We start from the raw sequence: 14,465 nt of genomic DNA on the forward strand, positions 1-14,465 counted from the left end.
TGGTTTTTCTCACATAGCATCATAGATAAGCCAGAATTTGGTTCTTAGCATAAGGTTAATAAGACACAGACATCTGAAAAGAATTGCCTACGTTTAATTATTTGGCATACTGAAGTTAGCATTTAAAATTTTATTTACAGCAAAGGGATAAAGTAAATAGTTTGGCTTAAAAACTAGTTTAGAAGGAGATGCCATTGTTTATTTTTTTAAATTAGTTAATTAATTAATATTGGTTAGGAAATCACAACTTCATTGGAAGGCACAGGACCTGGAGTCTTGATAACTAGACACCATATATTCATGTATGTTTTACAATATATTTTCAAATGTGTGATCCCATCAGATGCTTGTAATGCCGTAAATGGAGGGGGCAAGTGTTGCTGTCTGTATTTTTAAAAGAGAGATTACAAGATTCACTCAAGGTCACATGGTAACGGGCAGAATTGGACTTGAATCAAGATCTTCTGACTTTAAAAACAGTTTCCCATGATGAATCCTTGTTTGCAGACTGTAAATGCACTACAGAAATAAAGAAAGTGTGTATGAGAGCTGGCAGAGCAAAGGGGGCAAGCAGAGCCAAGCACCGTGAACAAGGCTCAGGGTCATAGGGCACACATGATAGTGTAATGCAGGAGGAGTGCGAGCTTTGTCACTGGGCATTCAGGTCTTCCCTGGCAGGAGACTGCTTACGTGCCACACAGGACCCTGCCACCGTCAAGTCCACTCTCCTGCCTGTGCAGAGGTAAGCACTGAGTCCTAAGTAACCACATAGAAAAGCTGCCTTTTCTTTTCTCCCTCCCAACTTCCTGCACCCCATCTGGAACTGATGCTCCTCTCTTCTCTCACTCCTAGGTGGAAGCTGTTCCTAGGCTGATTTGCAGCATTAGAGGGCAGGCAGCCACAGCTGAAGGGACCAAAGACATGCGAGACCCGGGGATTTGTGTGTGGTGGGCAGAAGATAACAAAGAGACGGAAGGTGGAATGAGAGGGTTGTATTCTCTTAAAGAAGCTGAAAATCTGTGTCCTAAGAATGTAGCTTAGTTTGAACTGAGAGTAGAACCTGGGGAAAAAGTAAGGGAACCAGAGTTTTTGAGAATCAAGTAAGCATTGAGCTTTTTACTTGGGTCAAGAATAAGATGTCTGTTTATGTTTCAACTTTACACAAACTTATATACAGCAACTCCTGGAGTGCCCTGAATAACGGTCCCAGTGGAGATGACCATCACAAAAGCCATCCATGAACCTGGGGGAGTTGGGGAGGTGGGGGGAGGGGGCAGAGAGAGAGAGAGAGAGAGAGAGAGAGAGAGAATTTTTTCACTTTTAAAATTCCAGTAGCTTTGCAAATTGTGAAGAGTCAAAAGCCCTGGCTGCAGCTCCTTCTCATCTTGTTGTATTTAGGGGGCTGCCCACCGAGTGTCTGGTGCCCTTGCTTGCTCACACCACCAGCACACAGCCTGTGCCCCTCCTGCAGCCAGGAGGGCAGTGGATTCTGAGTTTTAAGACAGCCAAACAGTATCGGAAGCAAAATGATGTTTTGAAACAACATTTTTTAAATCATGTGTGTTCCTTAAAAGTTCTCACTTTCATGAATAATTTTCCATAGCCTGGAGGGCATCCCTTTTCCCTCGCAAGCCTTTCTATGTGTGTTCACATTCACTTAATCATTTTTCCATTTCTTCACCTCCATGACTTGCCAAACTAGATCCATGGGAATCTTATCATTCTTTTCCATAACCTAAGGATATGGATACTTTCTACTTCCCTCACATCCTTAAATTAACCTGCATGTTGCTAGGAGAACGAGGTATTGAAAATGTAGGTTTACAAGTAAAGCTACCAGAAGTGCCTCTCTTGTGACACATTACTCCTCATATTCTTTCTGCCCAGCTCTGTCTCTTAGTCCCTCTGATTCAGTTCAGGATGGCTACAAGCACCCTAAGGCCTCTTCCGTATTTCATCACGGTGCTGGGTACAAAAGAGCCCATGGGTAAGGATAGGACCTCTGCAAATCCGCAGGGATAGGAAGCAGATTAATGATTACCAGGGGCTGGGGAAGGGGATAATGGAGGGGAGCTGCTTAAAGGGTATGGGTTTCCTTTGGGATGACAAAAAGGTTCTGGATCTAGATAGTGGTAATGGGGACAAAACAGTGTGAATGTACTAAATGTCAATGAATTGTACACTCAAAAATGGTTAACATGGTGACTTTTATGTTATGTAGATTTTACTACAATTTTAAAAAATGGGGTTTCTAGATTCAGAAAGTGCTGGATACCAATTCCAGCTCTACTTCTTATAAGCTGTGTCACTCTGGGCAAATTACATTTGGCAAATTATAGCTGGTGTCTTCGGCACATAAGCCTGAGTTTCCTCAGCTGCAAAATGGGATGAATAATTCCATCTGCCTGGTGATATTGCTCAGAAGAGTAAGTGAGACGGTGCATGTATAGTTCTTAGGGTTTATTTTTATATTGCAATTGTCTTTAGTACAAGAGAGTGTAATGCAAATGTTGGGGTAGGGTCTGTCCTGTTCTAAGACTGCTTTCAGACTGCAGATTTCATGACTGGAAAAATCAAAGGCATATCCCTGGAGTTTTTCTGGTCCCTGCAGACTCATTTGCTGGGTCTAGCTTGACCTGGAAGCAGAATTCAATCACTTTATTGTATTTGTTTCTTTGCAAGAACCCTATTATACCAAGTATCGTGATTTTTCTAGTCTTTACTGATGTTTGGGAGATATTATAGGAGTGGGTGGCATTGCACTATATAAAGCATTTGCCATGTTGCTCCCCCTTCTCTTTTCTAACTGTTTTCCTTTTAGAACTTCTCCTTCCTCCTCTTCCAGCCACACTCCCATTTTTCCCTTCAAATGTCTGGAGTAACATTTCCCTTTTTCTGAAGATTCAAGTTCTTGGACTCTACTTTTACCCCAACCACTTCTCAAACACTTTCCTAACCAGAATACATGGATCTCCCAGGGGAGCGCTAAGAGTGACCTTCTCCACCAGCCGATGGAACTTAAAGGATGCCAGGTCCTTCCCCAGGCCCTTTGGCATGTTTGATTCACAATCAACCATCACTGAGCCCTAGGTGAGGAATCAGAACTGCCTTGTATTCCCCAGAACAAGTAGCCATTCTTCTGTGATAGTTAGCAGCCTTAAAGGCAGAATTAAGACAGCTTTCCCTAAGATTACTCAATATCTAGAACCCCATAAGTACAAAGTCTACCACTGGTCTCTGTGATATCGTGTGCCCCATTCTCCTGGCAAATGGAACACATGTCGGTGCCTGAAGATTGTTGACTGGATTAATGGCTATATTTCAACTCATACTGGCCCTTCAGCTTGGCCTTTTCTTGGACAGAGAACAACCTTCCCAACTGTTCATGACAGCCCTATAAGTATATGCTATCCTTAAGGTAAAAGTTTTCCAGGAGCCCCTTACCCCATATTTTGTCTTTTTAGTGATGAATTGAATTATTGGTTAAAGAAACAATAAATTAAAGCAGTGATTGAGATAAAAATAGCACCTCTAGAAGCAAAGCAGTTTATAAACTACTCAAAAAGATCATTTTTTAATTTATTTTTAAATTTCAATAGTTTTTGGGGTACGAGTAGTTTTTGGTTACATGGATAAACTGTAGAGTGGTGAAGTCTGAGATTTTAGTTCACCTGTTATGCAAGTAGTGAAGGTTGTACCCAATATGTGGTTTTAAAAAAATCTCTCACCCACCTCCCACCTCCCCCTTCTGAGTCTCCAGTGTCCATTATACCACTCTGTATGATTTTGTGTACCCACAGTTTAGCTACCACTTATAAATATGAACAGACAGTATTTGGTTTTCCATTCCTGGATTACTTCACTTAGAATAATGGCCTCCCGCTCCATTAAAGTTGCTGCAAAAGACATTGTATTATTCTTTTTTCTGGCTGAATAGTATTGGTCAATGGACACTCAGGTTGGTTCCATATCTTTGCAATTGTGAATTGTGTTGCAATAAACATACGTGTGCAGGTGTCTTTTTGATATAATGACTTCGTTTCCTTTGTGTAGATACACTGTAGTGAGATTGCTAGATCAAAAGGTAGGTCTACTTTTAGTTTTTAAAGAAATCTCTATACTGTTTTCCATGGAGGTTGTACTAGTTTACATTCCCACCAGCAGTGTATAAGTGTGCCCTTCAAAATGATCATTTTAAAGCTATAACACAGTTATTGTTTTATGTTCCCACTATTAGTCACTACATTAAAGGTTATTGTTTTAACGAATTGCTCAAGATAAGAAAAAAAAGTTTTACCTTCTATTCTAATTGGTGAGTGATGTGTGAACTAATCAGAAGCCTGTGCTGTCGCCTCCATTAAGGTACCAGATGTATTTGGCTGAGGAGAGATTTGTTGAAGAGCTTCAACCTTTAAGTGCAGAGGATAAATGGATGGTGACATCATTATACCTTGACAAATAGAAATTATATTATGTCTTTTTTTTCACTTTTCATTACCAAGGATGATTTATATTAGTGGCTTTCAATTCATAAACCTATGGATTCTCTGTAAAGTTAAAAACCTTTTAAATTTGTAACATGCAATAGGGATGGTTAATAGCATTCATGACCCATGCTATATAATGTTATTGGAGCTATTTTTTCAGTAAAGGTGCATTATAAACAGGTGCTGGGAATTTATAGCAAGCAAATTTGTGAGCCTCATATGCCTGGCATTATTTCCCAACCAACCATAATGCTAAGTTATCATAAGTGACATGACATGTGACCCTGTTACATTTTATCTTCATCAAATACTGAATGATATTGAAAGGTCTTGGAATGAAAACTTAAAGAGTCAATAGAATTGTTTGTATCATGAAAAATAAGTGCAGCCTTTCTCATAACCTTTGTTCTCCCAGTAAATCCTGTTTGTTGCTTGAGTTGATTATACTTAGTATTTGCTCCCTGCAACGTCTGGGGATTTCCATGAAATTTTCTGTTATTACCCAAGATTTCGCCTCCCTCATCCACCTCATTCACTGAGGCTTATGAATTAGAATGCTTGAAAGAAGAGTTTGCATGTGTCTGGATAATCTACTCCCCAGTCTAGATTACAATAACAAAATAAACGCTGGATGCTTAGGGATAAGATTTGAATGGATTGCTACAGGAGATTAAAACAAGGTAGATTTTGTTTATCTGGGACCCAAATCAGGGAGGAAATGGTTGCATGAAGAAGGGAGGGTGTGTGTGTGTGTGTGTGTGTGTGTGTGTGTGTGTGTGTGTGTGTGTGTTGAGGGGGAGGGGAGTGTGGGTGTAGGAGTGTAGGGATAAGATGGAGATAGGAGAGAGGAAGAAAGATAGAAAATAAATTAGGGGTAGTTTAAATAAAAAGAGTAGACTTTGAAGATGGCATTTTAATCATTTTTGTCCATTTGTATTGAGGATAGGATGAAATTAGAATAAGACTAGCAAGATGAAGAGACACCCTGGGAAATAAATGAGGAGGTGAAGATAAGAAGTGGTATCTTCAGCAGGTTCTTCATCCCCAGCCCTCCGCTGCCAGCTCCCCAGTGGAGGGCTGGGGACGGGAGAGGTGGACTTAGGCTCACTGGCGCAGGGAGAAGGAAAATAAGTCCCCACAAGGCTCAGAGTGCACAAGGAAAGTGGGCCTGGAAAGCAGTGAGGCTCTAGTAAGTAGCACACAAAAGGCTTTGCAGAATGCAATTTAAGCCTGCGATGGCGTCTCAGAGCCAAAAGAGTTTGCAGCAGGATGGCATCAGCGCAGACACATTCTCACCGTCGCTCATTTCCAAGTTGCTTGTTGGAAAGCCCTCGACGAGACTGACAAACCTCCCTGTGAACCGTGCAGTCGAATCGCTGTCACATAACAAACGTGATTATGTTGTAAGTAGAGGACCATGAGCTCACCTGTCATGCCGGCGACATCCTTCTGGTAAGCTGCCCAAACCCTGCTGACACAAGGCTGTTCCTAACAGAGAAGACATCAGTGCTAACATTTCCTGCACCTTCTATAGCATGCCGCTGTTTCTGGAAGACACCTGTCCAATTAGCGCCAGTGCTATGTGGTACTTATGGCGGATGTTTCATTTCTCAAGCATTTTACATTCTTGCACTGTGTGTATTCCACATCCACCCCCCCCCATCTCACAGCATCTATTAGTGCTCTTTACAGCATTCTTCACATGTGTTCAGCGCTTCGTCAATTAAGCATCCAGGTTTTGACTCTAAAATTTAAAAGAATTAAAATAGAGTCCAGGAGAGCAACACAGAGAATCAGAAGGTTATGAAATAAGATGAGGAAAAAAGTTTGAAGAAATTGAGATTATTTAGCTTTGAAAGGAGAATAATGATAGGTGACAATCACCAGCTCCTAAAACACTCATTTGACCATGGTCTTTTGGCTTCTTTACAGAGAAGAATTTTGAATATTTTTCTGTCATTTATTTCGGGGGTGGGGAGGGTGGGAAATGAAGAGAGTATGGTAAAGGGAAGGCAGTTCCAATCTATGTTCTAGAACGCTTGGGAACAGACTTTGAGTAGCAGGAAAGGAAAAGCATATTAACATGTGGTTGGGGTTGAGAATATGGAATTTCTGGGCCTGTAAAATAAAATCACCCAACTTTCCTAAATCTGTTGCTTCCCTAAAATGCAGCAACTTGTTTAAAAGCAGAGCTCCCTAGCTTTCTCCGTGCTCATCCCCTCGTGAAGGCAGAGAACAATTGGGTCAACAATGACCGCCATACTGGACCATCTTTTTAGCAGTATGAAAATGGCCAACTCATGGAGCTTGCATTTAAATCCCCAGAATAATATCTGGCACAGTGAGGCTTCTTGATAAAAGTTTGTTGCCTTGAATTGAGTTTCGAGACTCCCCAGTTTTTGAGTGGGATTAAGGAAGATACTAAACTTTTGAACCAGTGTGCTTTCAGGAGCGGATGGTAAATCCAAGATCTTGATATCTGGAATGGGTAGAAAGTGGTGGAGGTAGAAAAAGCCATTGGAAATTTCTAACACAGAATCCAAGGTTGGAACAATACGTTTTCAATTTTATAAAGAAAATGATTGAAGCTTGAAAACACCCAGAAAATTAGAGGGGTTGGTTTTCTATATTAGTAATTTCCAAGGAACAAAATGGCACCATCAAGTTTCCTTTAACATAGCCCCATCCAGAGTGACAAAGTGAAGTGAAGTACTCTTTGGCTAGGGTAACCTGTTGTTATGATTTCAACTGTGTCTCCCAAGAAGAGGCTGGAATCTTAATACCCAGCACCTGTGAATGTGACCTTACTTGGAAATAAGGTCTTTGCAGATGATCAAGTGAAGATGAGGTCATTAAGGTAGGCCCTAATCCAATATGATTGTTGTCCTTATAAAAGGGGGAAATTTGGGCCAGGTCCAGTGCCTCACGCCTGTAATCCCAGCACTTTTGGAGGCCAAAGCGAGCGGATCACTCAAGATCAGGAGTTTGAGACAAGCCTGGACAACATGGTGAAACCCCATCTCTACTAAAAATAAAAATATTAGCTGGGCGTGGTGGCGCGTGCCTATAATCCCAGCTACTTGAGAGGCTGAGGTAGGAGAATCACTTGAACCCAGGAGGCGGAGGATGCAGTGAGCCACAGTGAGCCAAGATCATGCCACTTCACTCCAGCCTGGGCAACAGAGTGAGACGCCATCTCAAAAAAAAAATAAATAAAATAAAAGGGGGAAATTTGGACACAGACACAGGGAGAATGCCAGGTAAAGATTGGAGGTATGTTGCCACAAGCCAAGCAATGCCAGATTGCCAGCAAACTACCAGAAGCTAGGAGGGAAGCATGTAACAGATTCTATAGTGCCTCTTAGAGGGAACCAGCCCTGCCAACACCTTGCTTGAGATTTTTGGCTTCTGGCCTGCAGAACTATGAGACAATAAAATTCTCTTGCTCAAGTCACACAGTATGTGATATTTGTTATGGCAGCCCCAGAAAACTAATACATCTGAATAAATGAATCAATCTCTACCTTATTCAGCAACTATGACCTTGGCCATGGGTCTAAGCTTTAGTACTGGGGCTTCTCTCTCTTTAAGGGCAGCTGAATATTTTATGTTTTCCAAGTTTTAGAGGTTGGCAGAAACCCTTCCTTTCTTCTCCCCAACTCTCATCTCACACTGAGTCACTCTTTCAGGGCTGGGCATTTATTTACTAAAAGTTCTAGATAGCAATAGATTTTATTGTCCAAATGCAAACTTCTCTTTGCCATCACCTCATTTGGAAATAGCCACCATATGACCACCGATGCAGTGTTATCCGTTTGGTGTTCCAGCCTCCAGATGTCTTTTGGGGGATAGGTTTGCATCTGTTAGAGATGAAGGAACTAAGTGGCATCATGACTTTTCCTCATGGAAATTACTTGGGGGCAAACAAATTGTTCTGCCTTTCTTCTGATGCATTTTAAACTAAGTCATCCTTTTGTTTCACCAACAGCAAAAACAAGCATTTTTCAAAAACTGAAGTCAATCAAAGGAGTAGTAGCAATAAAGAGGAAGATGTAAGTTTGTTGTCTTTTTTCTTTATATGTTTATGTATAATTATTTTCTATCTTTCTGTAAGACTGGCCAGAGACAAATTGTTGAAACAAAGTTTGTGTTTTCCCAACAATTGACTCCACCTTTTGTTTGCTGTAATCTCAAGACACTTTCCTTTTGTGCCTACACAGGCTGCTACATGTTTGTTACCTCCCATCTTTACACCACTCAAACTTGAATTTGTTACTATAAGGGTTTAGGGCTTTGCCTGCTGGGGCCCTGAAAGCTATCTGCAGCCTTCTCCCTGCCATTGGATCCATTAGGCAAATTTTCCTATGCCACGCACAGCCACAGCCCAGTTAAAAGGCTCATCTCCTTATGAAAGTCTTTCATCATGGCAATAGCAGGCCACATGGTGACCTCAGAGAAGGTGGCCATTGCCCATGTAGCTTGAGCTAAGTTTACTGCTGGGTGGCCCTACCCACATTGTTCAGTAGGGCAAACCACAGGCAGCATTTTCCCCACACAAGGACCACTCCTTTTGCCCACTGCAGTCTGTTTTCCTGGAACTCCCACCTGGTGAAGGCCCCACAGGCTAGACACAGAGCCTAGACACGGATACCTTCTTTCTTGATTTTGCTTTTCCTGCTTCATTGTCCACTCACCCATGAAAAGAGCTGCCAGGTGGCAGCAATCATGTACTCAATGCCTTTGCATGCCCTGGGCCCCATAGCTGTCCAAAGACAGATGTTTATGACCTGGCTTGTTCTTTCTGTTTTGGTAAACCCAACTATCATTTAAAGCTGGACTTACACGTGATGCTGAGGCTGGCAAAGACAGCTACTTATGTGGCTAATTATATATTCCCCTCTCTGCCTTACCCACAGAGCCCATTTTAGTTCGAGGCAGCAATAGGCCCAGAAAACAAAGCTCTCTTATATTTAGGAGTGGTCAGTGCTGTAATTCTGACCAATGAGATGAAAGCAAAATTCTACTGGTTGAGGATGCCAGGAAAGTTATTGTTTTCTTGTTAAAAAGGAACAGCCTCAGCACTCAGTTGCTTTCTCTCCTTCCTCATGTTCCTGCTACCTTTGCAGATGTGCTGTCCGGAGCAGCACTGTTTGATAGAACTCTCTGCGATGATGGAAATGTGCTCCATTGGCACTGTCCATAGAGTAGCCACTAGCCCCTGTGTCTATGGAGCACTTTAAATGTGGCTAGTGTGACTGAGGAGCAGAATTTTTAATTTAATTTTATTAAAATAATTTAAGCTTAAATAGCTACACGTGGCAATCACTCCATATTGAACGGTGTAAGGAACTATAGCATCCATCTTTCAAGTAAGAGGATGAAAGCAATGCACTTAAGAGTGGCAGCCTGGAAAACCAAGAGAAACCCATCCTATAGGTCCTCAAGTCAGTGTGGCAGCCGTGCAGCCCTGGAGTGCTTGGTATGCAAGAAAAACAGACCCTGATTTAGTTATACCACTGATGTTGGGTTTCTGTTCAATGCAGCTGTATGTGGTCACAGCAAGTACTTTGTCCAAAATGTTCAGATACCCAAGTGCAACCTCTGGGAGAGCCAGTTTTTGAAGAAAGTTGGATAATACAGTAATGGCACCATGTAGAACTTTCCCTTGGTTGAGGGCATTTGGTGTTTGATAAGGGGAGTCTTTCTTCCCTAATCTGCTTTTTGGATTTGCTCATTTGTCTAGCCACATATATAGTACGTGTACGTGGTGGCAAAGTGCTTGGGCACTGCAATCAGTCTCCTGGGTTTGCACCCCAGCTCCGCCACTTGACATGTAGGCTGGGGGAAGCCACATCACTTTTATGTGCTTTGGTTTTCTCACCTGGAAAATGAGGATAATCATATGCTCTCTTGTTAGTGTTATCATGGGGTGAAGATGAGGCAATGCCAAGTATAGTGCCGCGTACAGAGCCTGGAGCAAGGTAAGCACCCAAGAATGCGAACTGCTACTATTGTGGTCATGATTTTCTAGCTTGTAGCAGAACTACTACTTATTTAGATCATGGCATCTAAAAATACATTTCCTCAAATATCAAAAGAGCCAGGACCAGAATCTTGGCCTCTGGCCTCAAAGATAATGCCTTTTCCCGGCATTTCCCCTGGACAGGCTGGGAAACATCGCACCACAAAATCTACACTCTTTCAATCCTGTGAGTACTCATATTTTAATAATTTCACCTATCCATGCTACAGTTTGTTTTATTTAGGGGAAAGTGTTTCATTTTGTTTGTATTTCTGATCTTTAGCTTGTCTGTTGCCAAATAGCTCTATGGAAAGAGAACAGGGGCTTTGAAGGCAAACAGGTTGAATCCTAGCTCTACTGATAATGGCTTTCTGACCTCTGCAAAGTAGTTAGTTTCTCTGCACCTCCTTTTCTTCATCTCTAATGTGAGACTAATAGGACGGTTGTGAGGGTCACATTGAGTGGGCTATAAGCCAACTTGCGAGGTGGGCAGTTAGAAATGTGGGCTCCCTTCCCTTTCCTCTTGAGAAGCCCAATTCTAGAGAGCTTTTCCCAAGAGGGAAAGCATCTTGATCGCAGTTATTTCTGGCTGGAGTAGAGGTGGCAGGTTCTAGCTATCATAACTCAAAGAAACTTTAGGGATTATAGCTATCATCATAGAATATTAGGCTCAGAATGGGCCTGAGAGATCTTTTAGTTGAAACCTTCTGTATTGATGAGAAAACTTTGACCCAGTGAGGTCAAAGACTCTGAATCTTAGAGCTATAAGAGACTTGAGTAGTCAGTCCCTCTAATTCAACTTGCCTCAACGTTCCTGTAGAACATACAGCATTATAAAGTTATTGTTTAAAGTATTTCATCTCTCTGAGAATACTTATCCCTACTCCATGGATATGGGAAGCTGAATAAATATGGGAGTCAAGAGTTTTCAGAAATGAGGATAGTCTTTTTTTCTTTTCTTTCTTTCTTCTTCTTTTTTTTTTTTTTTCGAGACAGAGTCTCACTCTTTTGCCCAGGCTGGAGTGCAGTGATGAGATCTTGGCTCACTGCAACCTCCTTCTCCTGGGTTCAAGGGATTCCTGTCCCTCAGCCTCCTGAGTAGCTGGGATTACAGGCACGGGCCACCACACACAGCTAATTTTTGTATTTTTAGTAGAGACGGGATTTCACCATGTTGGCCAGGCTGCTCTCAAACTCCCAACTTCAAGCCATCTACCTGTCTTGGGCTCCCAAAGTCCTGGGATTACATGCATGAGCCACCATGCCCGACTAGGGATGATCTTTTGAGAACACTTTTAAGAACCACGAGGAGCTAGAGGTGGTAGGAAAAGGCTCTGTGTTCGGCAGAAAGACCACCATCTACCATGGTTACTGGGAATCAAGTTGTAGCACTGCCATTCACTAGAGTGTGACCTTGGACAAGTCACTTAAAATTCTTTTATCCTGTGTTCTTTACCTCACAATGGGGACATTCTAATGCCCATTTTCAAGCATGGGCCTGTGTATCAGATGAGGTCACATACATGGAAGCTCTGTAAGGCGTACACTGCTCTAATAGAGCAAGGGTTGTCCCGCTTCCTAATAGACATAAATTACAGTGCTGTCTCCAGTGGATTTAGACTTTTCCACAATGCTGTGCCTAGGTATGTGTGAGAACACCAGGAAACCCTTAAGACTCACCTCACCCTGTGTGTACTTTTTGCCCCTCTTAATTGAACTGTAGAAAACTGGCATTGTAAACTTAGACACATCTCCATTTCCAGATGTACAGAGTCCAAGGCTTTACACAAATTGCACATTTCCTTTGTATTTCAAGAGTCTTAAATCACAACAGATCACAGTTTCTGAAGGGAACTCTGTTGGTGAAGAATAATCTTCTATGAACTTGCTGGTGACCGGCTCTCACATTACAAGAGTTGGCGGTTAAAACTGACGTGGAGAGTTTCTTGTACTGATCTGGCAACGCTTTCTGCAAAATACCATCACATCTCCCTTCAGCCCCAGAACTTCTGGCTGCTACGTTTTGTCTTATCCCTCTGATGTATTTAATCCCAAGTGTGACATAATTACATCATCAATGAACTCTTTTTAATTAACTGGCTGAGGGTAAACATAATTGAACTCAACTGTTTCATATTTTGAAGGGTGTGTACTTTTATTTCTGCATGATTGTACTGGGGCAAGTGAGTTATAAACACAAACAGATCATTCTGTGTCCTGGTTTACATCTTTGATTCACATTACCTCATGCGACTTCAGTTATACTTCAGAACAGAATAAATGCAAGTCCATACTCATAAATATACAATGTAGGTAGATGTACATATGTATTAGTTCATATGCTAAAATGATGCTTCTAGCAATGATAAAAAAATACCTGTGTGAGAAAAACCAAACATATGGTTAAGTTATCTGCTACCCTATGGTTAACTTTGGTTTTAGGTAAGAAATTGGGCCCAAAACTGCTTTTAGAATTAAAAGTTGGGATTTTTTTTTTCCCAGTCAGTGATTACTTAAAACTGCAAAAACAAAGCAGTAGAAAAATAAATGATTCATCAGGATCTTATGGGAAAAGAAGTAGAATTAGACCTCATGGGACCAAAATTTCTAGGTGGTTCTATTGTTTTCCAAGTATCCAAGAAATGATACTTGGGTCATTTTTTAAGGCCTTTATTTATCATCTCAGAAAATAAGGATTTTCCTGTTTTAGAAACTGGTATCTTAACAACCTGTTATTTATCTGGTTTTATTGTTTGTTTGTTTCACTTCTTGGCATCTACCATTTCCTCCTTACATGTTGGTCCTCCAATCACACTGTGTTGAGTGACAAATTTGCTAAATGCGCAGATTTTTATCTACCTTATTAATGGTAAATATTACAACTGACCTAGTCTGCTTTGAAATCTGGAAATTTATTATTTTCGAGAAAACTTTCCATTAACTTACTTAGCATTCTGCAGCTTATCTAAATCAGGTGAATCAAATGAGGTGAAAACCAATTTAGTTTGTGAATCGATTGATACTGCCCTTTGTCTCCTAAAATGACAACTGTCTCTGAGGCTGGATGGCCACTTTTTCACTATTTGTAATGTAATATGCGCTAGCTTTAAGCTCCTGTCCTGTAGGGAGCATATTCTTTGTAAAAGGAAATACAGGAAAATGAAGAAGCAGAAACCCTAAGCCAAGACCTGCTATTCTCACCCCACTTTTATGTCCCACTTGTCTACTGTAGTAAGACATTCCATTGGTGGCCCCAGGTGAACCATAATTCCTGGTGTTCACCCCTTACCTCTCCCATATTGATTTTGGGCTTGACCCATGTGACTTGCTTTGGCCAGTTTGCAAGTTTGATGCAAGCAGAACTTGATACACATTTGCAATTGGCACACTGCCCCTTGGAACTGTAGACCACCATGCTGTGGGGAAACCCAGGCTAGCCTCATGGAGAAGCCACATGAAGGAGAACAAAGGCTTCAAACATATAGCCCCTCTCAAGTCATTTGAGTTATCCCAGCTGAACTACAGATGTGGAACAGAGATGAGCTATCTCTGCTATTTCCTGCTCCAATTTCTCACATGCAGAATTGTGAACAAATGCAACTTGTATTGTCTGCAGTGTTTTTTCTGCATCAGTAGATAATAGGCAGGAGTTGGTATAGATTATCGTTCAGGGCATGGAAGACTGACTCTGGAGCCTCATACTTGAGCCTGAACCCTAGCTCTGTCACGAACTTGCTCTGCAGCTGTGGACAAGTTCCTCAGTTTCCCTAGTTGCAAAATGAAAATAATAATAGTGCCTAACTACTTCTTGGGTTGCTGCGAACATTGTGGGGGTTAATATATGTCAAGGCACTTGGTATGCCCTCAAATCCTACTTCAGCAGGATTGTCACCTCCTTGCCTGAGGCAGCAATTTGGCCTTGATGACCATTGCATTTACAAGGCTCATCACTTAGT

At 41.6% G+C, this 14,465-nt stretch overlaps 3 long non-coding RNA genes across 3 annotated transcripts in view; all 3 read left to right on the plus strand.

Annotated features, from left to right (window-relative positions):
• The first annotated feature begins 274 nt into the window (after positions 1-274).
• On the plus strand, positions 275-923 carry LOC105375193 (uncharacterized). Its single transcript, XR_927103.2, has 2 exons — positions 275-742; positions 853-923. It is a non-coding gene; the product is annotated as an uncharacterized LOC105375193 (long non-coding RNA).
• Positions 924-7,713: 6,790 nt separating this feature from the next.
• The window catches only part of LOC105375195 (uncharacterized), a 29,625-nt gene continuing 22,873 nt past the window's right edge, over positions 7,714-14,465 (plus strand). The window contains exons 1-2 of the long non-coding RNA XR_927105.2: positions 7,714-8,539; positions 10,405-10,468. This is a non-coding gene — a long non-coding RNA (uncharacterized LOC105375195). The remainder of the gene's footprint in view (positions 8,540-10,404; positions 10,469-14,465) is intronic.
• Positions 11,722-12,717, plus strand: LOC105375194 (uncharacterized). The gene is made up of 2 exons (XR_927104.2): positions 11,722-12,152; positions 12,273-12,717. It is a non-coding gene; the product is annotated as an uncharacterized LOC105375194 (long non-coding RNA).

This window comes from Homo sapiens, chromosome 7 (genome assembly GCF_000001405.40).
Source record: "Homo sapiens chromosome 7, GRCh38.p14 Primary Assembly".
NCBI lineage: Eukaryota > Metazoa > Chordata > Mammalia > Primates > Hominidae > Homo > Homo sapiens.